The sequence below is a fragment of the Homo sapiens genome, chromosome 7, assembly GCF_000001405.40.
Source record: "Homo sapiens chromosome 7, GRCh38.p14 Primary Assembly".
Taxonomy (NCBI): Eukaryota; Metazoa; Chordata; class Mammalia; order Primates; family Hominidae; genus Homo; species Homo sapiens.
The window spans coordinates 98,871,048-98,898,585 of NC_000007.14; the positions used below are offsets into that span (position 1 = coordinate 98,871,048).

The window sequence follows — 27,538 nt, forward strand, 5'->3', positions numbered from 1 at the left end:
GTGGGAGTCAGGCTACTGCGGTGAGGGGTGACCAGCCTACACAGTTACTGCCATTTGCCTTAGAGGAGCAGGGCTGGGCTCTCCTAGAAGCTGGAGGGGCCTGGCTGGCCTTAAACGCTGGAAGCCCGGTGGGTTCTGGTCCCAGCTATGCTTCCGCTTTGCTACGGCTACCTGGGCGAGGGATCCTCCCACACAGTGAGGGCCTTTGACCTCCTCTCTGGCCCGTGGAGCACGGATGGACCATCACTGCACCACCCAGTGCATTGACATCAAGGCGTCTAAAGCAGGGGTCTCCAAGCCCCTGGCCGCCAGTACCAGTCCATAGCCTGTTAGGAACTGGCTGCACAGCAGGAGGTGAGCAGGGCCTGTGAGCCACGCTGAGCTCCACCTCCTGGCAGATCAGCAGGGCATTAGATTCTCATAGGAGCGCAAACCCTACTGTGAACTGCTCACGTGAGGGATCAAGGTTGCGTGCTCCTTATGAGAATCTAATGCCTGATGTTCTGTCACTGTTTCCCATCATCCCCAGATGGGACCATCTAGTTGCAAGAAAGCAAGCTCAGGGCTCCCACTGATTCTACATGATGGTGAGTATGTAATCATAATAGAAATAAAGTATACAATAAAAGTAATGCGCTTGAATCATCCCGAAACCATCCCTCCAACCCCTCATTCGTGGAAACATTGTCTTTGGTGCCAAAAAGGTTGGGGACTACTGGTCTAAAGGGCCCCTGGCTCTGGGACAGCTGTGAGCTTCCCTAAGAATGGGCCCCACTGGCCCCACTGCTATGTTCAGGGAATGGAGGGAGAATAGATTTGAGTGAGCCCCTATGAAAAGTTAAAAGGGCTAGACAGGGCAGGGCATGGTGACTCACACCTGTAATCCCAGCGCTTTGGGAGGCCGAGGCGGGTGGATCACGAGGTCAGGAGTTCGAGACCAGCCTAACCAAGATGGTGAAACCCCGTCTCTACTAAAAATACACAAATTAGCCAGACTCGGTGGCAGGCGCCTGTAATCCCAGCTACTTGGGAGCCTGAGGAAGGAGAATTGCTTGAACCTGGAGGCGGAGTTTGCAGTGAGCCAAGATTGCACCACTGTACTCCAGCCTGGGCAACAGAGCAAGACTCCGTCTCAAAAAAAAAAAAAAGTTGGGGGGGTCGGTTGCGGTGGCTCACGCCTGTAATCCCAGCACTTTGGGAGGCCAAAGCGGGCAGATCATGAGGTCAGGAGATCGAGACCATCCTGGCTAACACAGTGAAACCCCGTCTCTACTTAAAAAAAATACAAAAAATTAGCCGGGCGTGTAGTCCCAGCTACTCGGGAGGCTGAGGCAGGAGTATGGTGTGAACCCAGGAGGCAGAGCTTGAGTGAGCTGAGATTGCACCACTGCACTCCAGCCTGGGAAACAGAATGAGACTCCATCTCAAAAAAAAAAAAAAAAAAGTGCTAGACGGATGTCACCCCCTAGTGGCATCAACTGTCACGGTGGTGATAAATACCAGGCCTAGGAACAAGGGGACTTTGGGTTCTCCCTGAGAGTTACAGGACCTTGGAGAAGTCACTTTCCTCCCTGCTAATGTTTTAAAAATTATTTTTTACAGAGATGGGATCTTGCTAGGTTGCTCAGACTGGTCTCAAACTCCTGAGCTCAAGCGATCCTCCTGCTTCAGCCTCCAGAGTAGCTGGGACTACAGGCATGAGCCACCATGTCAGTCCCCCTTTTTCTTTAAAATGGGCATAATAATAGTCCCAACACCATGAGACTATTATAAGGATAAAAGGAATTAACACGTAGAACACAGCTTAGGACATAGTAAAGGGTTCAATCAGTGTTGGGTGTCAAATGGGAATTGCTGAAGGACTTGGGAGGAATTGGCTTGTTCAGCAGGACTTTGAAGCACTTGAGAAGAAAACAGTCAAGCTTGCAGAGTTGCAAATCTTTAAGACGGTTTAACATAATTGGAAGGCCAGGTCGTTCCTGCTTTTTAAAAATGTATCAAATAGCATAAGATGTATTGTTTCTAAAATGTGTAACTTTATTTCACTGAGTAATAATTTTACAGTAGCCACAGTGTTACAGAAGCCACCTTCAAGGCCACCCTGAAATTGATGCTGATGCCACCCTTTGGCTAATTCCTTTTTTTTTTTTTTTGAGATGGAGTCTCTCTCTGTCACCCAGGCTGGAGTGCAGTGGTGCGATCTCGGCTCACTGCAAGCTCCGCCTCCTGGGTTCACGACATTCTCCTGCCTCAGCCTCCCAAGTAGCTGGGACTACAGGCGCCTGCCACCACGCCTGGCTAATTTTTTTGTATTTTTAGTAGAAACGGGGTTTCACCGTGTTAGCCAGGATGGTCTCGATCCGCTGACCTCGTGATCCGCCCGCCTCTGCCTCCCAAAGTGCTGGGATTACAGGCGTGAGCCACCGCACCCGGCCAGCCCTTTGGCTAATTCCTGTTTGCCACCCAGGATTTTCTTTCCTTTTTTTTTTTTTTTTTGACGGAGTCTTGCTCTGTCACCCAGGCTACAGCGCAGTGGTGTGATCTCGGCTCACTGCAACCTCTGGCTCCCAGGTTCAAGCAATTCTTCTGCCTCAGACTCCCAAGCAGCTGGGATTACACACACCCGCCACCACGCCTGGCTAATTTTTTGTATTTTTTTTTTTTTTTTTTTTTTTTTTTTTAGTAGAGATGGGGTTTCGCCACGTTGGCCAAGCTGGTCTCGAACGCTAGACCTCAGGTGACCCACCCGCTTTGGCCTCTCAAAGTGCTGGGATTACAGGCATAAGCCACCGCGCCCGGCCAGGATTTTCCATAGGCGTTACTCTTATCCCATCACCACCACCACCACCCTCACAGTACCCATCTCTGCTCCATCCCATAGCAGACTGGGAAGCTTCACTCTTCCAGGGAGTATCTGATAAGGGAGGGGCAGGAAATCCTCTCAGAAGGCTAGGTTTCCTTTTCATTTTTTTCTTTTCCTTTTATTTTTTGAGATGGAGTCTCAAAAATGTTGCCTAGGCTGGAGTGCAGTGGCACGATCTTGGCTCACTGCAACCTCTGCCTCCTGGATTCAAGCGACTCTCCTGCCTCAGCCTCCTGAGTAGCTGGGATTACAGGCATGCACCACCATGCCCAGCTAATTTTGGTATTTCTTAGTAGAGATGGGGTTTCACCATGTTGGCCAGGCTGGCCTCGAACTCCTGGCCTCAAGTGATCTGCCGCCTCTGCCTCCCAAAGTGCTAGGATTACAGGCGTGAGCCACTGTGCCCAGTCCATAGAGCTAGCTTTTCTTTTATTTTTTCTTTTCTTTTCTTTCAGAGAGGGGTCTCTTTATATGTTGCCCAGGTTAGTCTCAGACTCCTGACCACAAGCAATCCTCCCACCTCGGCCTCCAGAGTAGCAAGGATTACAGGTGTGCACCACCAAGTGCAGCTTGGCTTTCCTAAATTAATGTTCTTGGCTAGAAACAGAATTGGAGCCATGTATGTAATTTTAAATTTTCAAGTAGCCACAATTCAAAAAAGAAAAAGAAATAAGTGAAATCAATTTTAATGCTGTTACAAAACTCAACATATTCAAAATATCATCTCAACACATAATCAACGTAAAAATGATCAATAACCCGGGAGCAGTGGCTCACGCCTATAATCTCAACACTGTGGGAGGCCGAGGCAGAGGAGGCCAAGAGTTTGAGACCAGCCTGGCCAACACGGGGAACCCCAGTGGCAGGTGCTGTAATCCCAGCTACTCTGGAGGCTGAGGTACAGGAATCTCTTCAACCTGAGGGGCATAGGTTGCAGTGAGCCAAGATCGTGCCACTGCACTCTAGCCTTTTTGTTGTTGTTGTTGTTGTTGTTGTAAGGGTTCACCATCTCGTGTGCATTTTACGCTGAGATTTCATCTCCATTCAGATGGGCCACACTGCACATGGGGCTAGTGGCTACTGAAGTGGAAAGCACAGCACTAAGTTGCCTGGGTACAAATGCGTCTGACCATCCCAAGAGTCTTCCTGGTCATCCTCCTTTTTTTTTTTTTTTTTTTTTTTGAGACAGGTTCTCCCCCTGTTGCCCAGTGTGAAGTGCAGTGACACAATTGTGACTCACAGGTCACTGCACCCTCTAACTCTTAGGGTCAAATGATCCTCCCACCTCAGCCTCCCAAGTAGCTCAGCTAATTTTTTAGATTTTTGGTAGAGATGGGGGTCTCACTATGTTGCCCAGGCTGGTCTTGAGCTCCTAGTCTCAAGTGATCCTCCTGCCTCAGCCTCCCAAAGTACTGGGATTACAGGCATAAGCCACTGTGTTCGGCCTCAAGAGTCATTTTTTTTTTCCCACAAATTCTCCCAGTCTAGCCTATAGGGGCCACAAATACCTCTTACCGGGGTGACTTTGACCCTCCTCCCAGCATCCTCGCCTATGCCATGTGTCTGCGTGTCTGGTACTTAGCATGTAGTTTGGTGCAAAGTAGATGCTTGTGGAATGGCTGAAAGAATAAGATGAGGCCTCCCCTTGATAACGCCCCCAAAGCCTTGAACATGACTCGGTGTTGGAAACCATTTGTCGGTGCCTTCTCTGGACTGACCTTGGACTGCTTTCACAGACACCATCTCATATGATCACAAGGCAGCACAGAGGGGACATTCTCTCCCCTGGCGAGGTGAGCATCGGTCAGAACAGACACTGAGGGCAGCCTTAACAGGCAATGCCTGGGGCCAAACGTCCAGAACAGTAGCCACAGGTAAGGGTCTGGGACCTGGGGACAGATCAGATGTTGTGAACAGTCAGACCTCATTCGCCTGGCTCTGGGGGGGCGGTGGGGGAGGGACGGTGGCCTGTTTTGGTTAATTAAATTTTTCTGGGTAATGAAAAGTTCACACTTCTTTGGTGTCAATTCTTGTTGATGAAACTCTTTCTAAAGCAAGTTAGTGTTAGTTGGTCTGTTGGCCCTAGCAAGGTGGTATAATCAAATCTTTGGTCATTCGAGGGCAGCAGCCCTAGGGTCCGTATCCCTACCACACATCCTCGTTGTCCTGCATTGGAAATTAACTATGGGAGGTGGGGGGCCGCTGGGCAGGTAACAATGACTCAGAATCAGCTCCTGGGAGAAGCATTTGGGGCTAAATCCTGGAGTAGCTTGGAGGGAGCAAAATGAGTTCGGGGATATCCTTTTTTTTTTTTTTTTTTTGAGATAGAGTCTTGCTCTGTCGTCCAGGCTGGAGTGCAGTGGTGCCATCTTGGCTCACTGCAACCTCCACCTCCTGGGTTCAAGCGATTCTCCTGCCTCAGCCTCCCAAATAGCTGGGATTACAGGTACCTACCACCACGCCTGGCTAATTTTTGTATTTTTAGTAGAGATAGGGTTTCACCATGTTGGCTAGGCTGGTCTCAAACTCCTGGCCTCAAGTGATCTGCCCGCCTCAGCCTCCCAAAGTGTTGGGATTACAGGTGTGAGCCACCGCGCCCGGCCTATTCCTTTGTTTTTTAGAGATAGGGCCTCTCCCTGTCGCCTAGGCTGGAGTGCAGTGGCATGATCATAGCTCACTGCAGAGTAGAACTCCTGGGCTTAAGCGATCCTCCTGCCTTAGCCTCCCGAGTAGCTGGGACTTCAGGTGCATGCCACCATGCCCTGCTAATTTTTTAAATATTTTTTAGAGATGAGGGTCTCGCTGTGTTGCCCAAGCTGGTCTCGAATTCCTGGCCTGAAGCAATCCTCCCACCTCAGCCTCCTGAATAGCTGGGATTCCGAAAAAATCTCCAAAAATCCTGAAGGATTTTAAGCAGAGGAGTGAATGTGATCTAATTTACCTGATCAGGATGAAGTTGACACTGTCCCTCACCTCTAATTCAGGAGACAGATGAGAAAACAGGCAAAAATCATGAAAGTGTGATGACTAATTTGATAAGACGCTTAGGCCACCTGAAAGTGCAGGGATTTTGCCAATGTTAGGGCCAGGCTTGACTGTAGGTCTTTATCATATGCAATTGAGCCAAAACTTATTTTAAAAAAGCGTCTACAGCTGTTTTCCTAACTCCCCTCAAAAAACAATATTAAACAATCGTTTAGCACACTAATTTCAGCCCTCAAATATTTCAGTCTTCAACTTTGGACCTCTTATTTTTTTTTATCTTCTGTGACAAAGTCTCGCTCCCACCTCAGCCTCCCCAGTAGCTGGGACCACAGATGCCTGCCACTAAGCCCGACTAATTTTTGTATTTTTTGCTAAGACGAGGTCTCGCTATGTTGCCCAGGCTGGTCATGAACTCCTGAACTCAAACAGTCCTCCCACCTTGGCCTCCTGAAATGCTGGGATTACAGGCATGAGCCACCACAGCCGGCTTGGACCTCCCACTTTTTTGGGGGCAGTGGAGGTAAGACAATAGCAGATTTTGCTTGCAAACAGGCAACCTCTTCCGTGATGGAAGGGCTATTCTGAGCCATTTTGTTTCTCCTGGGGCAGAATTAACTGGTACTAAAAACATCCATTCACAATCCCAGCATTTCAGCTGTGGCCTTGTTCTCGAGTGGCAACATTAAACGAGCAAGGAGCTTGTTTCAGAAAAGAGCACCTCCCCTCCAGGGTATCCACGGGCACTGAAACATTTATTTATTGCAGGGTGTGAAATGTGTCTAGGAAGGGAACATAATGATCTTGGTGGGTTAGTGATAAATGGGGTGAGGGTGGGGGGTAGGTGAAGGAAGGTGTAGGAGGTGGAACCAGGGCCTGGAGGTGGCCAAGTTCATGTCATGCTTCCACACTCTGTCCCTGTAACATGGTAACCATGGCGCCTGACTGTACCTTTCCCTTGGAGACACCTTTTGGTCCGGCCCATGCCACCTCCCCTGGCTCCATCCCACTCTATCCCTTCATTGCTCTGGCCTGGCCTGAGGCCTCTCTCCATCCAGTTTTGATGGAGGTAGCTCTGCCTGCCATGTGGATCCAGCCTCGGAGGTAAAGCAGCTGCAGAATCAATGGGGCCTTTCTGCACCTGGGCGGCCACTTCCAGAAAGCCCACCCGGACTTTCTTTTACTAACAGGGTCTCGGTCCATCTCCAGCCGTCACCTTCCCAAAGACCCTCCTGGCCTCCTCTCCATTCTGCGGGCCGAGAAGAACCCCAGGAGAGCAGCGGGGACCGGGAGCGAGGAGTGGGGGTGGCAAACCCTACCCTGCCTGCCACCTTCAGTCCAGTGGTGGACAATACCTGGACCCCATAGCTGCCAACTCGGGAAGCCGCGCCCCCCCCCAGGTGCCCACCGCCCCCAGGGTACCCGGGCATTCCCCGAGGCCTGGCTCCTGGGAGGAGACTCAGGGAAAAAGGAGCTCCTAGAACCTGGGCGCCGGCCCGGCCCCGTCAAGGCTGTCGGGGATTTAAAGGGCCGGGACCCACCCGGACGGCGGACGCCCCTCCCCGTGCCCGCGCAGGCCGCACCCACTTGGGGGCGGCGCGCCGGGGCCTGGTGCTCGGTCGGCGGGTGCTGCCGCTTTAAGCGGGGGCGGGACTGCGCGCGGCCGAGCGGTTGCGACGAGGGCTCGGCTGGGGGTCGCCGGGGTCGCGGGCCGGGCCTGCAGGAGCCGGGCCGCCGAGGTCGGGGTAAGTTGGCGGGCGGGCGTCCGAACGGCCCCGGGAGGTGCGCGCGGCCCTCAGGCGCGGGGAGGCCTCTGCGGCGCGGCGGCTCCGCGGAGGGATGGAGCTGGGGGCTCCGAGCGCCCCGGGATCCCCTAGGCCCCAGCCAGAGCCCACCTGGGGCTGCGGGGCCGATGGCGTTTGCGGCCGAGCTGAGAGGAAGCTGTGGGAGGCGCAGCGCTCGCGGGCGCGGGAATTGGCGCTCGGCGCTCGCCGTAGCTCGGCCTGGGACGCGGTCACGGAGCGCCCGGGACGGCGACCAAAGGAGGGAACCGGAGGGCCGTTTGTGAGCTGAGAGGTCGGGTGGGACGTTGGGGGCCTGTCCCTCCGGAGGCGCCCCCCGGCCAACCTGGCACCTCCGGGCCTCTACGCCGGCACTGGACTCGTTAGGCCCGGCGCGGGGAGCGAAGGTAGCGGCGACCACAGCGCCCCCTCTGGCCCGGCGGCGCCGCCTCAGGCCGGGCTTGGCGGGGTCTGGGGGCGGCGGGGCAGTTTGTCCCCAGGAGTAGGAGCAGGCCCGGCGCCAGCCCGGCCTGGGCCTTCGGCGTCCGGGGTGGTGAAGTTGCTTTTCCTCAGACACGCAGAATGGGGGCGTTTCCCCCCGGCCAGGGCCCCCCAGGCTCCGCGGGACCCCGGGAAATGGAAGAGTTGACGACTTCCGTGGGAAGGGGGAAGTTTGGACAGGACTAGGGAGGTTCTTAGGCAGGGAGAGGCCGTGACCCCGAGTCTTGGGTCCCCTGGGATGGGGATGGGCAGGGAGAGGCCGTGACTTCCGAGTCTTGGGTACCCTGGGATGGGGATGGGCAAGGAGAGACCGTAACCCCGAGTCTTGGGTCCCCTCGGATGGGGATGGATAGGGAGAGACCGTGATCCCGAGTCCTGGGTCCCCTCGGATGGGGATGGGCAGGGAGAGTCCGTGACCCCCATGCCTTGGGCCGATGGAGATGGGGAAGGGGGTGTCACCTGAAACAGGCAGTTGCCAGGTCCCCTAGCAGGGCTTGACAAACTCCCCCGCCTTGGTTTCCTTCTTGGCTTTTCCTACCCGGAGCCAGAGGGCTGGGGCTTCTGGTGGGCTTGTTGTGGGACACCTGTGGGCATGCTCTCTGCATGGAAGAAGGGTTTTTGGTGTCTAGGAGAGAGTGGCCGGAAGGAGCTCTCTAGTGTCACCTGTGTCAGCTGCAAAGCAGTGTATCCGGTAGGCCTGCAAAGGAGGTCCTGGTGTGTCTGTTGAAAGAAAACGAAGCCATGAAACCACCTGTTAGTGCAGAGCAGGATTATGCAAGGAGGAGGGGTGAAAGCAACTTATTTCACCAGCTTCTCGGGATACTTTGTGACACCTGTTAAAATAGAAACCAAGTCTCCATCTGTGTGTCAGCTGGGAGCAGCCACTGAGTGCCTGCTGCCTGGCAGCTACAAACAGAATTTATAGTTTCCCGTGCCCGTCACGTAACCACAGTCTGGAGGGGTGCTGCTTGGGAGCCCACCTTTGGCACTTGGGGATTTTGATGTCCGCTGAAGTTTGGAAACCAGTCACACGTACGACCAAGGTTGCCCCAATCCAGCCTGCTGCCTGCGTTTTGTTGTTGTTGTTGTTTTTTTTTTTTTTTTTCCGAGACTGAACCTTGCTCTATTGCCCAGGATGGAGTGCAGTGGCACAATCTTGGCTCACTGCAATCTCCACCTCCTGGGTTCAAGTGATTCTCCTGCTTCAGCCTCCTGAGTAGCTGGGATTACAGGTGCCCACTACCACGCCTGGCTAATTTTTGTATTTTTAGTAGAGATGGGGTTTCATCATGTTGGCTACGCTGGTCTGGAACTCCTGACCTCGTGATCTCCCTGCCTTCGCCTTCCAAAGTGCTGGGATTCCAGGCGTGAGCCACTGCGCCTGGCCTGCTGCATGATTTTATACCGCCCATGAGCTAAGAATGGTTTTATATTTTTAAATGGCTGGGGAAAAGAGGAAGGATATTTCATGGTAAATGAGAGTTATATGAAATTCAGATTTCAGTGTCCATAAATAAAGTTTTATTGGAACACAGCCTCATTTATTTACATGTTGTCTGTCTGTGACTGCTTTCTGGTTATAGCAGCGCTGAGTAGTTGTGACAGACTGCGTGGCCACAAAGATTAAAATATCTACTATGTGGCTCTTTACAGAAAATGTTTGCCAACCCCTGACTCAGAGAAAGAGAAAATACCGTAGGAAGGAACAGTATCTGCATACAAAAATCATGTTTCAAAATTAATAGACAAAATTGGAGTTGGGTAAACTTCATATTAAAAAAACCAGAAGGAATAGTGTTAGATTCTGGATTAAGATGAAAGCGTATCGATTATGTAGGCCTTTAGGTAAGATTTTCACAGAGATTGTGATCCTGTGCCCTCCATAAATTGACTAACTCTATGCTTCTTTTCATAGGCTGGTTGAACTCATGGACCTGATACTTTTCTCTTGAGAAGCAAACCAGCCCAAAAGAAAAATGGCGTTTGTTGCAACACAGGGGGCCACGGTGGTTGACCAGACCACTTTGATGAAAAAGTACCTTCAGTTTGTGGCAGCTCTCACAGATGTGAATACACGTGAGTTGATCCTTTTTATCATTAAGAAATGCATAAATAAGGCCGGATGCGGTGGCTCACGTCTGTAATCCCAGCACTTTGGGAGGCCGAGGCGGGTGGATCACCTGATGTCAGGAGTTTGGGACTAGCCTGGCCAACATGGTGAAACCACGTCTCTACTAAAATACAAAAATTAGCCAGGTGTGGTGGCTCACGCCTGTAGTCCCAGCTACTTGGGAGGCTGAGGCAGGAGGATCGCTTGAACCCAGGAGGCAGAGGTTGCAGTGAGCTGAGATCGCACCACTGCACTCCAGCCTGGGTGACAGAGCGAGACTCCCTCTCAAAAAAAAAAAAAAAAGAGAAATGCATAAATATGACACATTTATCTCAGCTCAGATGTTGTGTACTTTGAGATTAATCGTAACAGTAACTTTTATTCTCATTTTCCTTTTCTCTACCTTGTAGAGAAGCAAAGTGATGAGTAATACTGGCTGGAGCCCCAAAGAGGCACGTGTGTGTGTTTGTGTGTGTGTGTATATGCTTGTCAGTGCATGCACGTGTATGTCTGGGAGTACAAATGGGTGCGACTGGTTGTAGGGAACTAGCTATGTGCCTTCTATTAGGCCATGACAGTCAAACTGATAAGATCTGATTGCTTCTCTTAAATTACTAAATCCAAGTTTTGCATTAACATAATTTCCTTAACATAATTTCAATTACCTGATGCTTGTTTTGCCGTTCACAGCTGATGAAACAAAGTTGAAAATGATGCAAGAAGTTAGTGAAAATTTTGAGGTATGAGCATTATATTTTCTATTTTTCATTTTGAGGTAAATATTCTTATTCACTTTCCTGTCCTGCTTTGTCAGTCTTTTTACTAGCAACTCAAAGATCATTGTCTTTGTTCAAGTAATTTAGTATATTTCGAAACTGAAATCTGAAACTTTGTACACAGCGTTTTCCATCTTCACGCTGGTGATAGCGAACCCCATACCATGTTGAGGATTGTCAGTTTTGTTTTGGTTGGTTTAAAAACATTTTTTCATTTTAAAATATGGTAGCTCTTTTAGGCTACCATGCCTGTTGGGATGCACTCAGATTTATTCTTGTACTTTTCTTTCTTTCTTTTCTTTCTTTTTTTTTTTTTTTTGAGATGGAGTTTCGCTCTTGTCGCCCAGGCTGGGGTGCAGTGGCGTCATCTTGGCTCACTGTAACCTCTGCCTTCCGGGTTCAAGCAATTCTCCTGACTCAGCCTTCAGGGTAGCTGAGACTATAGGTGCCTGCTACCATGCCTGGGTAATTTTTGTATTTTTAGTAGAGACGGGGTTTCACCATGTTGGTCAGGCTGGCCTTGAACTCCTGACCTCAGGTGATCTACCTGCCTCAGCCTCTCAAGGTGATAGCATTACAGGCGTGAGCCACCTCACCTGGCCTGTTTATTGTCTTTTTTGAGGCAGAGTCTGGCTGTGTCACCCAGGCTAGAGTGCAGTGGCGTGATCTTGGCTCACTGCAACCTCCACCTCCCGGATTCAAGCGATTCTCCTGCCGTAGCCTCCCAAGTAGTTGGGATTACAGGTGTGCACCACACCCGGCTGATTTTTGCATTTTTAGTAGAGACCGGGTTTCACCATGTTGGCCAGGCTGGCCTTGAACTCCTTACTTCAGGTGATCCTCCTGCCTTGGCCTCCCATAGTGCTGGGATTACAGGCATGGGCCACTGTGCCCGGCCGAGATGCACTCAGATTTATGTTGTGAATTTGTTATGTTCAGGTAATTTGATGGTGTATTCTTATGCAATGAGATCTGGATGTCATTTCTGGTTCTGCTAATTAGAACATCTGTGACCTTGATCAAGCAAGAACTTTCTCTATTGTGGACCTCACATCCTACAATTGTATATTGTCCTGCATGTCCCTCAGACACTTTTCATTTTTCTTCAGTCTTTTTTCTTTTTGTCCTTTAGATTGGATAATTTCTGATCTTCTGAGAATTTTTTTATTATCTGCAACTTGCTGGGTTTTTCTTAGAATTTCAGTTTATTTTTTGTATTTTTTTAAATTTTAGTTATTGTGGTTTCAGTTCTAGAATTTCCATTTGGTTCTTCATACATTTCATTTATCTGCAGATTCCCCATCTTTGTTTATTAAGACCATATTCTTCTCTTATGTTTTGAACATATTTACTGTATGAGGGCTGCTTTAAAGTCTTCTAGTATTAAAGCCAACATTTGGGATATATGAAGGTCAATTTCTATTGGCTGTGGGCCATGTTATCCTGTTTCTTTGTCTAGTAATTTATATATTTGGAGACAAGGTCTTACTGTCATCCAGGCTGGAGTGCAGTGGTACAATTTCAGCTCACAGCATCCTCAACCTCTTGGGCTCAGGTGAGCCTCCCACTCAGCCTGTTAAGTAGCTGGGACTACAGGCATGCACTACCACGCCTGGCTAATTTTTGTATATTTTGTAGAGATGCAGTTTCACCATGTTGCCCAGGCTGGTCTCAAACTCCTGGACTCAAAGGATCCACCCACCTCGGCCTCCCAAAGTGCTGGGATTATGGATGTGAGCCACTGTGCCCAACCGTCTAGTAATTTTTTTACTGTACAGTGGACATTACTTGTGAGACATCATAGGGACTCTAGATCCTATTATCTCCCTCGGAAGAATGTCGACGTTTTGTCGTAGTAGGCAGTTCAGTTACCAGCTGATGCCACTGAATTTGCGTAGGCTTGGTTTTATGCTTTGGGGAGGATCTGTGGATAGCCCAGGGTCTTTCCTTGGTGGGATTCAACCTCAAATTCTGCCTGTGGATCTCATCAGAGGTTGATTTTAGGCTTTGTTGCAGTTGGTCTAGAATAGGCCTTATTCTAGGACATGGTCTAGCTGGATGCGTGAGGTCTGGGAGGTTATTAAGATGTTAAGTAGGTCTTTGCACGCTGGCTAGGCTTGAAATCCAGCATCCTCTAACATTGCTAGATGTATGGTATCTTCATTCATCTTGCAATCTTTTTGTTTTTTTTGTTTGTTTGTTTTTAAGATAGGGTCTCCCTCTGTCACCCAGGCTGGAGTACAGTGGTGTGGTCACAGCTCACTGCAGTCTCAACTTCCTGGGCCCACCTCAGCCTCTGGAGTAGCTGGGACCACAGGTGTGCACCACCATGCCCCACTAATTTTTGTATTTTTAGTAGAGATGGGGTTTCGCCTTGTTGCCCAGGCTGGTCAGGAACTCCTGACCTTAAGCGATCCACCCACCTCAGCCTCCCAAAGTGCTAGGATTACAAACGTGAGCCACCATGCCCAGCCGCATCTCTCAGTCTTAAAGCAGGTACATTGTGGTGAGCTTCAGGCAGTGTCACCCTGTGTGTGTGCAGTCCAGCCCTCAGCTGTCCTCACTGGAGACACTCCCCATTCCCTTGCTCTGTGGTTTGCTTTTCTCTGGTGCTGTGCCCTGCAGATTCCAGCCACTTTAGCTCTCCTGAACACTGAGGATTTTACTCCTCAGCTCAGCAGGCCCTGACCCCTGCTTGGACCCAGCTTGCTGAACCCCAGTTGGAAAATTGTACCTAGGCAGAGGGCCATGGTGGTCATGGGGCTAAGCATGTAAATTTCCCTTCTCCTGGGAGTCATGCTCCGGTACTGGCCCTAATCCAACACCTGAAAAAAGTTATCTCGTATTTTGCACAACTTTTTGGTTTACCTGGGTACCAGTTAGTCTCATAGACAGATGAGAAAGTCACATTTGTTACTTATTTTTTTCACATCAGATGGGTAATGTGCTGACATAACAAGGTTTGAGGGAGGCATGTCTCACATATAAGCATGAAACCCCAATCATCACCCTTACAAACTACAAAAGGATCACGTTTCCGATTTTTATTGTTTATTAGATTAAAAAAAATTTTAAGAGATAGGGTCTTGCTGTACAGTGGTGCAGTCACAGCTCACTGCAGCCTTGAACTCCTGGGCTCAAGTGGTCCTCCTGAGTAGCTGGGACTACAGATGCAAGACACTATGCTTGGCTAATTTTTTTTTTTTTAGAGACAGGGTCTTGCTATGTTACCCAGTCTGGTTGAACTCTGGGCTCAAGCGATCCTCCTGCTTTGGCTTCCCAAGGTGCTGGTATTACAGGTGTAACCCGCTGTGCCCAGCCAACATTTCTTTTTTTTAATATGAGGATAATAGTCTTAAGAACAATAGGGAAAATATTCCCTAGCTTCCGTAAGGTCTTTTGTATTAATAAACATTAAATACATGTTAGTGGGGTTGAATCAAATACCCTACTATCTGTAGCAATGGATAGTATTTTAGCTTTTTTTTAATAGACATTTTCAAGGACTTGTTGCCTTGAGCTGAGCTAGAAAAAAAACTTGAGATATTTAGAGATCTAGCTAAAGAGCTTTCTCTTCTGCTCAAGCTGCTAAAACAAGCTGTTTAAAATATATATATATATATATGAAGAGGTGAGAGGCAGAAGAGTATACCCTGCATTCTGCATTTTATTGGAAGAACTGATCTGAGAGAACCATAGTCTTGGCAGGTTTGTTGGAGAGGCTGAAATCATAGGCAGTCTGTGAACCTGCAGGAACAAGCCAGTGAGTCAGGGCACCAAGTGTGGACATACGGCTATCTGGATTAAATATCTGTAAATATCTGACCCTTTTGAGGTTTTGAGACTTTATTCTCCTTTTTAGTATTTGCAATTAGCAGGTTACCTCCTTCCTGGCTTTTGGTCTCAGATGCATTGATCAGCAACTAAAAGTTAGTGGGGCAAGTCTGGGTGTGGTGGCTGACGCCTGTAATCCCAGAACTTTGGGAGGCCGAGGCGGGTGGATCACTTGAGGCCAGGAGTTCGAGACCAACCTGGCCAACATGGTGAAACTCTGTCTCTACTCCAAATACAAAAATCTAGCCGAGCATGGTGGCACATGCCTGGCCTGTAGTCCCAGCTACTGGGAAGGCTGAGGCAGAGAATCACTTGAACCTGGGAGATAGAGGTTGCAGTGAGCGGAGATCATGCCATTGCACTCCAGCCTGGGCAACAATATATCTATATCTATATCTATCTATCATAGATATAGATATCTATATAGATAGAGATAGATATAGATAGATATAGATATCTATATAGATAGAGATAGATATAGATATCTAGAGAGATAGAGATAGATATAGATATCTAGAGAGATATGGATATCTAGAGAGATATAGATATCTAGATAGATATAGATATCTAGAGAGATAGAGATAGATATAGATATCTAGAGAGATATGGATATCTAGAGAGATATAGATATCTAGAGAGATAGTATATAGCAGTATAGTTAGGGCTTTTCCAAGTAATGACTTTTGCAATCTGTGTATCAACATTTACCTTAAATGAAATTCAGATGACTGAATTCTTCAAAGAATTAAATACTAGAATGACCATCAAGAAGCAGTTCTCTAAATTACTACCACCCAGAAAAATGTTTAAATGAAGTGAGTGAAATTTAAAAACTCCCAGTGATTTCAGGAGTCTTACAGATTCATTATTAAATGGGCCATCTTTCAAGACAAAATAAACCCTCAGGTTAGGAATCACATGAACAATTTATCTGGATCAAAAAACTGGTGGCTGAGTTGAGATAGTTGCAGAATAACCAGGCAGCTTGTTGAATGAATCTTCTTTTAATTATAAAAAATTTTTTTAGAGACAACGTCTTGCTATGGAGTATAGTACCTATTCACAGGCGCCATCATAGCACACCACAGCATTGAACTCCTGGGCTCAAATGATCTTCCTGCTTCGGCCCCCAAGTAGCAGGGACTACAGGCATGCACCACCATGCTCAGCTTGAGTGAATCTTTTTAACTGGAGAAATTCTCTTTTTTTTAGACATGGTCTTGTTATGTTGCCCCAGCTGGTCTTGAACTCCTGGGCCCAAGCAATAGTCCCACCTTGTCTTCCTAAATAAAGTGCTAGGATTACAGGTGTGAGTCACTGTGCCCAGCCCTACTAGAGACATTTGAAATGCAGATATTTGAAAGCTGTATAATCAGTAGTTAATATGGACTTACATGCAAATATGTTTGACTTCTTGATAACCTGGCAGTTAGTTCAGTGTTGCAGCATGAATCTTCTCCCTCTTTTCCTTGAATCCTTGGTTGTGGGTGTTTCATAAAAAGTCTTAACCTTTAAGGGTGAAAGGTGCCAAACACAGTTCTTCTGCCCCACAAATGCACTGTCTGCTTGGAGAGAAGCTATTTGATTCCTGCACAGCTCCTGGGGCCGCCTCCCATACAGTGTTCTGTGTGAGTGGAGGCCCCAGAAATCTGCACCGAGTTGGCCCAGGAGACAGGTGCTCAGGTGTGTTAGCTGGTCGTGGTGGTGGGCTCTGTAATCCCAGCTACTCTGGAGGCTGAGGCAGGAGAATCACTTGAACCTGGAGGCGGAGGTTGCAGTGAGCCGAGATTGTACCATTGCACTCCAGCCTGGTGACAAGAGTGAAACTCCGTCTCAAAAAAAAAAAAAAAAAAAAACTGCAATGGTTTTCTTTCCTTGTTCCATACTGCTTTCTGATTTTTGACTGTTTCACTGTCCTTCCTTTATAGACCCCTCTTCTGAAGTTACATTATGTTATAGACAACTCCAGATCTTTCTCTTTAGCCCCATATTTAACTGCCCAGGTGTCTGGTCTCACCAGCTTGTCAGACTCCTGATAGTAAAAGTTGAACTCCAGGACAGGTGCGGTGGCTCCCGCCTGTAATCCCAACACTTTGGGAGGCTGAGGCAGCAGATCACGAGGTCAGGAGATCGAGACCATCTTGGCTAACACGGTGAAACCCCGTCTCTACCAAAAATACAAAAAATTAGCCGGGCCTGGTGGCGGGCGCCTGTAGTCCCAGCTACTTGGGAGGCTGAGGCAGGAGAATGGCGTGAACCTAGGAGGCAGAGCTTGCAGTGAGCCGAGATCACGCCACTGCACTCCAGCCTGGGTGACAGAGCGAGACTCCATCTCAAAAAAAAAAAAAAGTTGAACTCCAGTCCAGATGTGGCGGCTCATGCCTGTAATTCCAGCACTTTGGGAGGCCAAAGCAGGTGGATCACCTGAGATCAGGAATTCAAGACCAGCCTGACCAACATGGTGAAACCCTATCTCCACTTAAAAAAAAAAAGTTAGCCAGGCGTGGTGGCTTATGCCTGTAGTCCCAGCTACTCGAGAGGCTGAGGCAGGAGAATCACTTGGATCCTGGAGGCAGAGTTTGCAGTGAGCCAAGATCACGCCATTGCACTCCAGCCTGGGCGACAGAGTGAGACTCCGTCTCAAAAAAAACTTAAAAGTTGAACTCCTTTCTCTTATGCTTCCTTCTCCATCATGCTGAACTCTGTTGATATGCCTTTTACACTCGTGCTTTCTCTTGATTTTGTGCCTTTGCATGTGCTTTTCTTAGAATCTTCTTTTCTACCTTTTCATGGGTAGCTCCTACTTGCCTTTCAAGTTTTAGTGTAAATGTCACTTCAGGAAGGTGTCCTCCGCCCTTGGTTACATTTAGTAAATGATGTCTCACAGTTATATGTTCCCTTAGTTGTTGGCATATCCCCCCTCATGGTTCTGTATCCTTAGTCTTTTTGTTTGATATCTGTCTTCCTTCTGCTGCTGCCTCCCCCATCTCTGAGGGCATGAATATTATGTGTTCTGTTCATTATTTTATCCCTTTTGAGCACATGATAGGAGTTTAGAAAATATTTGTTGAATGAATAAGTGAAGCATTAAACAAGAAAAAGGATTTGGGTGTTAGATATACTTGATTTGAATCCACTTCCAAAACTTTACTTTTTTTTTTTTTTTTTTTTTGATATGAGGTCTTGCTATATTGCCCAGGCTGGCCTCGAATTCCTGGGCTCCAGTGATCCTCCCACTTCAGCCTCCTGAGTAGCTGGTACTACAGACCAGCTAGTGTGCCCATTTTCAAAACTTAACCTCTTAGATCCTCTTTCCTTATCTGTGAAATGGAGATAATACCTATCTTAGAGATAATACCCATCTCAGACTAAATGAGAAAGACTAAAAGGTACACAGCACAGTATTTGACATGTAAGTGCTCTGTAAATAACAACACAACACTTCCGAGCATTTCCTGTAGGCAGTGTTAGAAACTTCATAAACTTTGCATATATTAACTCATGCAGTCTTCACAATAGTCCTATAAGGAAGGCGGGAAATAATATCCCCAGAGTTTAGGTAACTGTCCAAAGTTTCTACTTCCTAAGTGGGACCCAGAAACTGCCCTAGTATCTTCATGCTGTAGTTTTATTTCCTATTCTCCTTTTTTTTTTTTTTTTTAAAAAAAATAGAGACAGGATCTCATGCTGTTGCCTAGGCTGGTGTGCAGTGGCATCATCATAGCTCACTGCTGCCTTGAACTCCCAGTCTGAAGTGATCCTTTTACTTCAGCCCTCTGAGTAGCTAAGACCACAGCATAGGCACGTGCCACAATGCCCAGCTTTTTAAAAAAAATTTTTTGTAGAGATGGAGTCTTGCTCTGTTGCCCAGGCTGGTCTTGAACTTCTGGGCTCAAGGGATCCTCCTGCCTCGGCCTCCCAAAGTGGTGGGATTACCGGCATGAGCTACAGTGCCCAGCCCTTCCTATTCTACTTTTAAAATCAGTACTAGGATCAATAATGGATTAGATTAGATTATAATATAATTAGTATACATCTAATTAGCACATAATGAATATACATCTAACTAATACATTGGTTTGCTCAGGCTCTTTGTTTTCCAGATCAAGAAACTGAGACCTAGAAGCTAAATAACTTCATAGAGGTTTCATACTTAGATCGTGGCAGAGACAAGCTAGTACAGGTTCCAGGTTCAGCATTTCCCAAAGGATTGGTATTTCTAATTTTAATAGGAAAAGTTAGCATTTAGTTTTCCTGAATTGGATTTCAGAAATACAATCATCCTAATTTAAAATTATGTTATTACTAAATAATACAAGTAGCACAAATTTGCTTTTGGCTAAAATGTTTTATATTCCTTTGCAGTTATTATAATGTGTAAATTTGAAATGAAAATACATACACATAACTGAATGGGGTCTTTTATTTTTGCACAATTAGAATGTCACGTCATCTCCTCAGTATTCTACATTCCTAGAACATATCATCCCTCGATTCCTTACATTTCTCCAAGATGGAGAAGTTCAGTTTCTTCAGGAGAAACCAGCACAGGTAATGTAAAAAAATAACATGAGAAGACAAGGGTGCTGTGGGATTGTGACCAGTTACGAATTAACTCAGAAAACTTACGGTTCCACTTAAAAACGAAAGAGGTTTTGTCACATAAGGATAACTTTGTTCAAGACCGCTGCCTCCTCAGTTACATGTCTTGGTTTGATTTTTGTCTAGGACGTCCCTTTTACAATTTAAATTATTCACATTTGCCAACTGATGACATGTGTGTACACTGTTTACTATAGACCAGTGCAAATGTATACAGAAGAAGGAATGACTACCCCCCATACCTATTGCCTAGCTCCAATCTTACTGTCTTATTAATGTCAGTTCTTTTTTTTTTTTTTTTTTTTTTTTAAAAGACAAGGTCTCACTCTGTCACCCAGTCTGGAGTGCAGTGGTGCCAATCGTAGCTCACTGCAGCCTTGACTTCTTGGGATCAGGTGATCTTCCCACCTCAGTCTCCCCAGTAGCTGGGACTACTGGTGTGCGCCACAATGCCTGGCTAATTTTTAAAAAATTTTCTGTAGAGAATGGGGGTCTTGCTGTGTTGCCCAGGCTGGTCTTGAACTCTTGAGCTCAATAGATCCTCCTTCCTCAGCTTCCCAAAATTCTGGTATTACAGGTGTGAGCCACTACGCCTAGCCTAGTGTCAGTTCTTATAGCTATGGTCAATTTTGTTTTATCGACACGCCCCCAACACACTGTTCATACCTCCCTACCTTGATCATTTAGAAATAGTCCATATATATATATTTTTTTTTTTTTTTTTTTTTTTTGGGAGACGGAGTCTCGCTCTGTCACCCAGGCTGGAGTGCAGTGGCACGAACTCAGCTCACTGCAACCTCTGCCTCCCAGGTTCAAACAATTCTCCTGCCTCAGCCTCCCAAGCAGCTGGGATTACAGGTGCATGCCACCATGCCCAGCTAGTTTTTGTACTTTAATAGAGACCATGTTGGCCAGGCTGGTCGTGAACTCCTGACCTCAGGTGATCCGCCCACCTCGGCCTCCCAAAGTGCCGAGACTACAGGCGTGAGCCACTGCGCCCGGCCTACCACTTTTTCTATAAATATTTCAGCATGTAGCTCTTTTTTTTTTTTTTTTTGAGATGGAGTCTCGCTCTGTTTCCCAGGCTGAAGTGCAGTGGCGCAGTCTCGGCTCACTGCGAGCTCCGCCTCCCGGGTTCACACCATTCTCCTGCCTCAGCCTCCCGAGTAGCTGGGACTACAGGCGCCTGCCACCACACCCAGCTAATTTTTTGTATTTTTTTTAGTAGAGACAGGGTTTCACCATGTTAGCCAGGATGGTCTCGATCTCCTGACCTCGTGATCTGCCCACCTCGTCCTCCCAAAGTGCTGGGATTACAGGCGTGAGCCACCGCGCCCGGCCCAGCATGTAGCTCTTAAAAATAACTTTTAAAAAACGTTCCCATAATACCAGCTTATTAGTAAATAAAGTATTTTTATATCATGCCAGTGTGAGACCTTACATATTTGACCTTTTAGTTGTCAGCTCCACAGACAGAATCACAGAAGCTTAGTACAGCTCATGATATAACTAGTCCTTGGGCCCAAGGTAGTTGGCGATAGCATTATGGGAGCTAATGCGAGATGGTAAGGGGAGATCCCAAACTATGTTCAGTTTGTGTTTTGCTCTTTTTATCTTCAATGAACTCCATGTTCGTACACCAGTGTCCGTTGGACTTACTGATAAGCCGTGGAAGGGGAGAAATTGGCTTAGTCGATTTGGTACAGAGTTGTAGAAATACTGAAAATGATCATCTGCAGTACTTACTTTGGGTTACATTTAAGTAGTTTCTAGGACTGCTTGAAAAACTGGGTCCATTTTGTAGGATGGTGGTTCATTCCTAGTGCTGGGTGTAAACAGCTGTGTGACACTTGCAGAGTGTGAGATAATTAATTTGGAACCCTTGGAAGTATTTTTATCCTTACATTTATTTATTTTTTCTTGCCAGCAACTGCGGAAGCTCGTACTTGAAATAATTCATAGAATACCAACCAACGAACATCTTCGTCCTCACACAAAAAATGTTTTGTCTGTGATGTTTCGCTTTTTAGAGGTAAGTTTTGAGAATTAATTCTTGTCGTATAGCCGTATGTAAAACTTTCACTGATTTTTCTTATGGTAAATTTCAGCATTATACAACTGTTTTATCTTTCTCCCAAATTCCAAGTCACATGAGTAAAAATTTTTCTTAATGTCCCTTTTCCCCCATTTCCTCCACTCAGAAAGATTACTTAATTGAAAATCATTGTTTGAGTTACTGAGGAATTGGCCAGACATAGTAGGTACCTTTGAAACAGTTGCGGATGGTGAGCCGGGTGCGGGCCCGCAGACGCCCAGTGAGTGGCTCACTTGCATTGTTCTTTCCGTGTGTATCTCCAGTGTGGCGCATCACACCTAGTACATGCTCATAAAGAGTATCTCACATCCTTGGGGTGAATCCATCTGGTACCTCCAAATTGTTTTCTTGCTTCTCTTAGTCTTTCTTTTTTTTTTTCTTTTTTGAGATGAAGTCTTGGCCCAGGCTGGAGTGCAGTGGTGTGATCTTGGTTCACTGCATCCTCCACCTCCTGGGTTCAAGTGATTGTCATGCCTCAACCTCCCGAGTAGCTGGGATTACAGGCCCTTGCCACCATGCCTAGCTGATTTTTGTATTTTTAGTAGAGATGGGGTTTCGCCATGTTGGTCAGGCTTGTCTTGAACTCCTGACCTTGTGATCCACCCGCTTTGGCCTCCCAAAGTGCTCGGATTACAGGCGTGAGCCACCTCGCCCAGCCCTCCTAATCTTGATGCAGTTAGATTTCAGTCGTGTTTCTGGGCCTATTGGAAAGATGAGCTTGGATTCTGTCTTGGCTGGGGCGCTTTGTTGCTGTGTCATGTCAGCCACAGTGCTTAACCCCTGAGATATCATGCCCTCACAGGTCAGATGTAGATGGAACCCCATCCTCACAGAGCATTTGTAAGGTGCTTAGCACAGGGTCCAGTCCTTGGCACTTGCCCAATAATTCTTTCCTGGTCTTTTCACAATATTGTCCAACAATGGAAAGTGTCATTTGGGCCATGAAGTCCTTAGCTCCTGGTGCCACTTTCCACAAAGGCCAGTGAAGCCCCTGTCCAGGTTACTCATGCAGAGCTGGCTGGTGGGATTCCCTTCTGGTGGTGCACTGAAGCTTTCTGTCTGGGACAACTGTGTTCTGTGAGCTGATGAATTTTCAGCAAATCCAATAGTTGGTTGATGGAAAGTGTGTGTGCAGAAACTGCTGAGAAAATTAGCCTTTAAAGTGAGTCTTCAGAAGTATAACTTTCATTAAATGCTTTTTTTTAGACGGAAAATGAAGAAAATGTTCTTATTTGTCTAAGAATAATTATTGAGCTACACAAACAGTTCAGGCCACCGATCACACAAGAAGTAAGTTGTTTAAAATCCTTATAGCATTTATAAAGTGTGTCAACATGTTCCTTCTGTGAAATTTTTTGCTGTCTCAAAGTTGGCTGAACACATACTGTTTTCAAGTGTAGAAATACAGCCTAAGTTTGGGGCAATTCTTTATGAGTTTAACAGTGACTTAAAAAAATGTTATTATCAATACTTTGCTAAATTGGTTCAGTAGTTGAAATGTATTAAATGACCAAACTGACAGGTTATTTGGGCTGTTCTGGTATTTATGCGTATGATGTACAAGTCATTGTATGTTGTACAGGGATTAAGATGTGGGCTCTGAAGCCAGAGCCGGGTTTGAATCTCACCTCTGCAATTCAGTAGCTGTGTGACATTGGTTAAGTTTGTAACCTTTTGGAGATTTTTCTGTAAAGTGACAATAATCATAGTATGTCCTTAAAATGTCATTTGAGGAATTAGACATAAAGTTTAAAGTTATTAGCACAGTGATTGGCATCTACCTATACAGTAAGCAGCAAGTATACATTTACCATAATTATATCTTCTCTGGTGATAACCTAAATAAGTGCCTGTTATAGATGATTTAAGGTAGAAATTAAATTATTTATTAAAATTAAAAATTATTTATTGAATTAAATAACTTAAAATAGAAATTAAAAGCATAAAGATGAAATAGGATTCCTACCATCTCAAAAACAGGATTTTATGTCTTGGTGATTTTCTTTCCTTTCCTTTCTCTTTTCTTTTGTTGTTTTTTTTTAGATGAGTCTTCCTCTGTTGCTCAGGCTGGAGTGCAGTGGCGCAATCTTGGCTCACTGCAACCTCTGCCTCCCGGATTCAAGCGATTCTCCTGTCTCAGCCTCCCCAAGTAGCTGGGACTACAGGCTTATGCCACCACACCCAGCTAATGGTTTTTTTTTTTTTTTTTTTTTTTTTGTATTTTTAGTAGAGATGGGGTTTCACCATGTTGCCAAGCTGGTCTGTAACTCCTGACCTCATGTGATCCGCCTGCCTCAGCCTCCCAAAGTGCTGGGATTACAGGCATGAACCGCCATGCCTGGCCTGTTCTTTCCTTTTTCTCACGTTAATGTTTTTGTATATTTTCTACATAATTGTGGTAATACTGTATATAACATCTTATAGCTTGATCATGTTAAGTGTAAGCATTTTCACAGTCATAAAAAATTCTGTATACAATTTTTAAAAAAATTTTTGTAGAGACAGAGTCTGTCTATGTTGCCCAGGCTGGTCTCAAACTCCTGGCCTCAAGTGATCCTCTAGTCTTGGCCTCCCGAAGTGTCAGGATTGTAGGCATGAGCCACTGTGCCCATCCACAATTATTTTTTAATGGGTACATAGTATTCTTTCTTATGGGTGTCCTTATTTCTGGATATTGAAGGTATTTCAAATTTCTTATTTTAATGGTTATTATGGAATACCTTTGTTTACTGTTCAAATTATTTCATAGACTAGCTTTGTAGGAGAATTACCGAGGCAAAGGCATTGAAGTGTTAATGCTCCTGTGTTAAGCTGATTTCTAGGAAGGTTTCAGTGGTTTACGGCCCCACAGTATATGAGAGTCTTTCTCTCGTTCCATCCTATCAGGCATTGTGTATTACTATTTTGTGAAAGGCAAAAACTGGCATTTATTTTAATTTTCAACTCTTTGCTCTTCCTGAATCAGAAACTTGTTATCTGTTTATCAGTCCTTTATATTTACTTATTTTTTTGTTTGTTTACATCCATTGCCTATTTGTATCTTGAGCCCACCATTTTCCTTACCTCTCTTATGAGTTCTTACGTAGTAAGACAATTACAACTTTTCTTATTTATTATGGGTATTTTCTGTTTATGAATATCTTCCTATAACGAAAGTGTCTGCTTTTTTTAGATTCATCATTTTCTGGATTTTGTGAAACAGATTTACAAGGAGCTTCCAAAAGTAGTGGTATGTTTTTACTTTGGTTTTAATTAGTTACATTTGTTTATACTTCCTTATTCCAAAAAGACTTTAGAACAGTTGGGTTGCAGAAATAGTGTGTGGGGAGGGTTTACTATTTTAGAATGGGGAATGTTTAGCAATGGTTAAAAACTGGGTTGATAAGTCAGCCATTCAAAAAAGTAGCTTTTTTAGTTTTTCTGTTTCACTTAAGTACTTTTTTTGTACATAAAGGCAATATGTTTTTATTGTAGAAATTTTGGAAAAATAATTGTCATAATTCATTTACTGGTAAGCAACCATTGACATGGAGGTTTTGCTTTTGGTTTTCACTTTGTGCATTTTAAAGACGGTTGAGTTTACAGGCTCGAAGACTTTTTGGGGAGGTGGTGTATATTTTCAGTTTTTTTTTAAATTTTACTAACTTTTTTTTCGATCTCATTAAGAACTCTTTATAAGCAGTGCCACAATATACAGGTTTGTGGAGTAGAGGAGGAAAATCTCCTCATCTCCTTCCTGCTTATTAGAAGTAAACACTCTTGCCAGTTTGGAATAGCTTCTTCCAGACTCTTCTTCTGGGAATCATAATTCTTTCTTTTTTTTTGGCTGGGGGTGCGGGGGTACGGGGTCTCTGTCTGCCCAGGCTGGAGTATAGTGGCGTGATCTCTGCTCACCGCAGCCTCCACCTTCTGAGTTCAAGCAATTCTCCTGCCTCAGCCTCCCAAGTAGCTGGGATTACAGGCGTGCGGCACCCACCCAGCTAATTTTGTATTTTTAGTAGAGGCTGGTCTTGAACTCCTGACCTCAGGTGATCCACCCACCTCAGCCTCCCAGAGTGCTGGGATTACAGGCGTGAGCCACTGCACCCAGCCTAAAGATTTCTTTTTTAATCTTTAAAAAGTTTTTAAATTGATATAGGATAAAATTGACTCTTTTTGGCATTTAAAGGATTTCAGTCTGGGGAGAATGTATAAAACTTAAAATTAGTGACTTTGAGTTGTCAAGTCCTGCCACCTGCCCTCCTGTCAAAGCCCGAGCGCTGCTTTTCATAGGCAGCTGCCTTGTTGAACGTGAAACCCCAAATCCACTGAGAGCGAAGGTTGGCAGTGAGGTCCTGGCTTTTAAAAATGTCCTGTGTTTTGGCCAGGGGCAGTGGCTCACCCCTGCAATCCCAGTACTTTGGGAGGCCCAGGTGGGTGGATCACCTGATGCTGGGAGTTCGAGACCAGCTTGGCCAACGTGGTGAAACCCCGTCTCTACTAAAAATACAAAAATTAGCCAAGCATGGTGGTGCGCGCTAGTAATCTCAGCTACTTGGGAGGCTGAGGCGGGAGAATCACTTGAACCCGGGAGGTGGAAGTTGCAGTGAGCCAAGATCGTACCACTGCACTCCAGCCTGGGCAACAGAGCGAGACTCTGTCTCAAGAAAGAAGAAAAAATGTCCTGTGTTTTGCTTGTTCCCTCTTTGATGTCTATTTAGAGAGTGAAAAATTAATCAGTGGGGACTGCCAGCTCGTAGTTTCTTCCCAGAAGGGATGGAGTGCTTTCTTTCCTGCCTCACTGTGGTAGGAATGTAATAGGGTTTGTATTTAATCATTTATTAGCCAGGGCAAAAAGAGTAGAAAATACTTTTAGGCAAGCTTTGTCTTCTGTTGTTGAAGATGGAGAACATGGTCCCTGTCGTGTTATCTTTATGGTCCTGTGGGAAGAGTAAACGTCTAGTGTGTGTTGGTTTAGGCTTTAAGGGGCATTGGAAAATGAATGGCTGAGCCTAAATACTGTGGAGTTGGTGCAGCATAAAAATGTAGAACATACTGTTTTTTTCCACCAAAGAGTCAAGCGTCTTTTTGTTTTGTTTTGTTTTGTTTTGTTTTTGAATGAATATTGGGTTTGACTTTAGGAAAAAATATTTTTATGACTTTTATGTAGAACCGCTACTTTGAGAACCCTCAAGTGATCCCCGAGAACACAGTGCCTCCCCCAGAAATGGTTGGTATGATAACAACGATTGCTGTGAAAGTCAACCCGGAGCGTGAGGACAGTGAGACTCGAACAGTAAGTGTTTCGCTGAGTTATTTCTACCCGTGGCTCCTGTAGTTTCGGATACTGGCCTGTTAAACCATTTTTTTTTCTCTTAAATACTTGGAGGCATTTAAGACAAACGTGTGTGCCTGGCAAAGCATCACTGGTCCTTCTCTGCAGCCTGGGAGGGGTGAAAGTGACCTTTTGGGTGTCATTGATGCCAGGCTAGAAAGATAAGGTTGTTGTTGAAACCCAGAATCACCCTGCTGGGAAGAGCAGCAGACCAGGTGTGGGGTGTCTGTTCTGTCCCTTAGCTTTGAGTCTTTTGACATTAATAAAGTCCCTTAAACTATAGATAAAAGCATATAGCTCAGTGACTGAGAGTGTGGGCTCTAGGACAGAGAGCTCCAGTACAATGTCCTGGCCCCACTGGGGTTTTCTGACTCCAAGAAAGTTAATGAACCTGCGTTCTGACCTTATTTTTCCTCTCATTATCTGAAAAACCTGTCTCACGGACTTTGTGAAGGTAATGCTGGCATGGTCCGCAGGTAATGTATCGTATATTTGTGGTGTCTGCCACATAGGTAACATGTTTTGAGCACTTACTATGACAATTTTTGTGATTGAATTATTATCCATGTTTGTTTTTCTGAAATGGTTGTGCAGAGTGTTTCAGTTGTGCTAGGATGAACAAGAAACTTTGAGTAACGCTTTCCTCCTTTTGTTGTTCTTAGTTAGAAATTTGTTTTCTG

General features: G+C 45.9%; 1 protein-coding gene and 3 non-coding genes across 6 annotated transcripts in view, besides 2 other annotated features; 3 read left to right on the top strand and 1 right to left on the bottom strand.

The window, feature by feature from the left end:
• Positions 7,285-7,744: a silencer, noted in NCBI's record as "silent region_18398". NCBI's record gives its function as "represses an Ori minimal core promoter by ATAC-STARR-seq in GM12878 lymphoblastoid cells {active_cell/tissue: GM12878}" and the evidence as "EXISTENCE:reporter gene assay evidence [ECO:0000049][PMID:35858748]".
• The window catches only part of TRRAP (transformation/transcription domain associated protein), a 134,710-nt gene continuing 114,656 nt past the window's right edge, over positions 7,485-27,538 (top strand). For all 3 annotated transcript variants that reach the window (NM_001375524.1, NM_001244580.2, NM_003496.4), the window contains exons 1-8: positions 7,485-7,590; positions 10,043-10,203; positions 10,928-10,977; positions 19,288-19,398; positions 21,377-21,481; positions 22,751-22,834; positions 24,717-24,773; positions 26,694-26,819. In NM_001375524.1, coding sequence (NP_001362453.1) covers positions 10,104-10,203; positions 10,928-10,977; positions 19,288-19,398; positions 21,377-21,481; positions 22,751-22,834; positions 24,717-24,773; positions 26,694-26,819 — 633 coding nt within the window. In that variant the 5' untranslated portion in view covers positions 7,485-7,590; positions 10,043-10,103. The remainder of the gene's footprint in view (positions 7,591-10,042; positions 10,204-10,927; positions 10,978-19,287; positions 19,399-21,376; positions 21,482-22,750; positions 22,835-24,716; positions 24,774-26,693; positions 26,820-27,538) is intronic.
• Positions 7,875-8,144: a silencer, noted in NCBI's record as "silent region_18399". NCBI's record gives its function as "represses an Ori minimal core promoter by ATAC-STARR-seq in GM12878 lymphoblastoid cells {active_cell/tissue: GM12878}" and the evidence as "EXISTENCE:reporter gene assay evidence [ECO:0000049][PMID:35858748]".
• Positions 10,603-10,682, top strand: MIR3609 (microRNA 3609). The gene has a single exon (NR_037403.1). It is a non-coding gene; the product is annotated as a microRNA 3609 (primary transcript).
• SCARNA28 (small Cajal body-specific RNA 28) lies at positions 10,650-10,843 on the top strand. Its single transcript, NR_132754.1, has one exon.
• LOC124901832 (small nucleolar RNA U13) lies at positions 13,943-14,043 on the bottom strand. The gene has a single exon (XR_007060668.1). It is a non-coding gene; the product is annotated as a small nucleolar RNA U13 (small nucleolar RNA).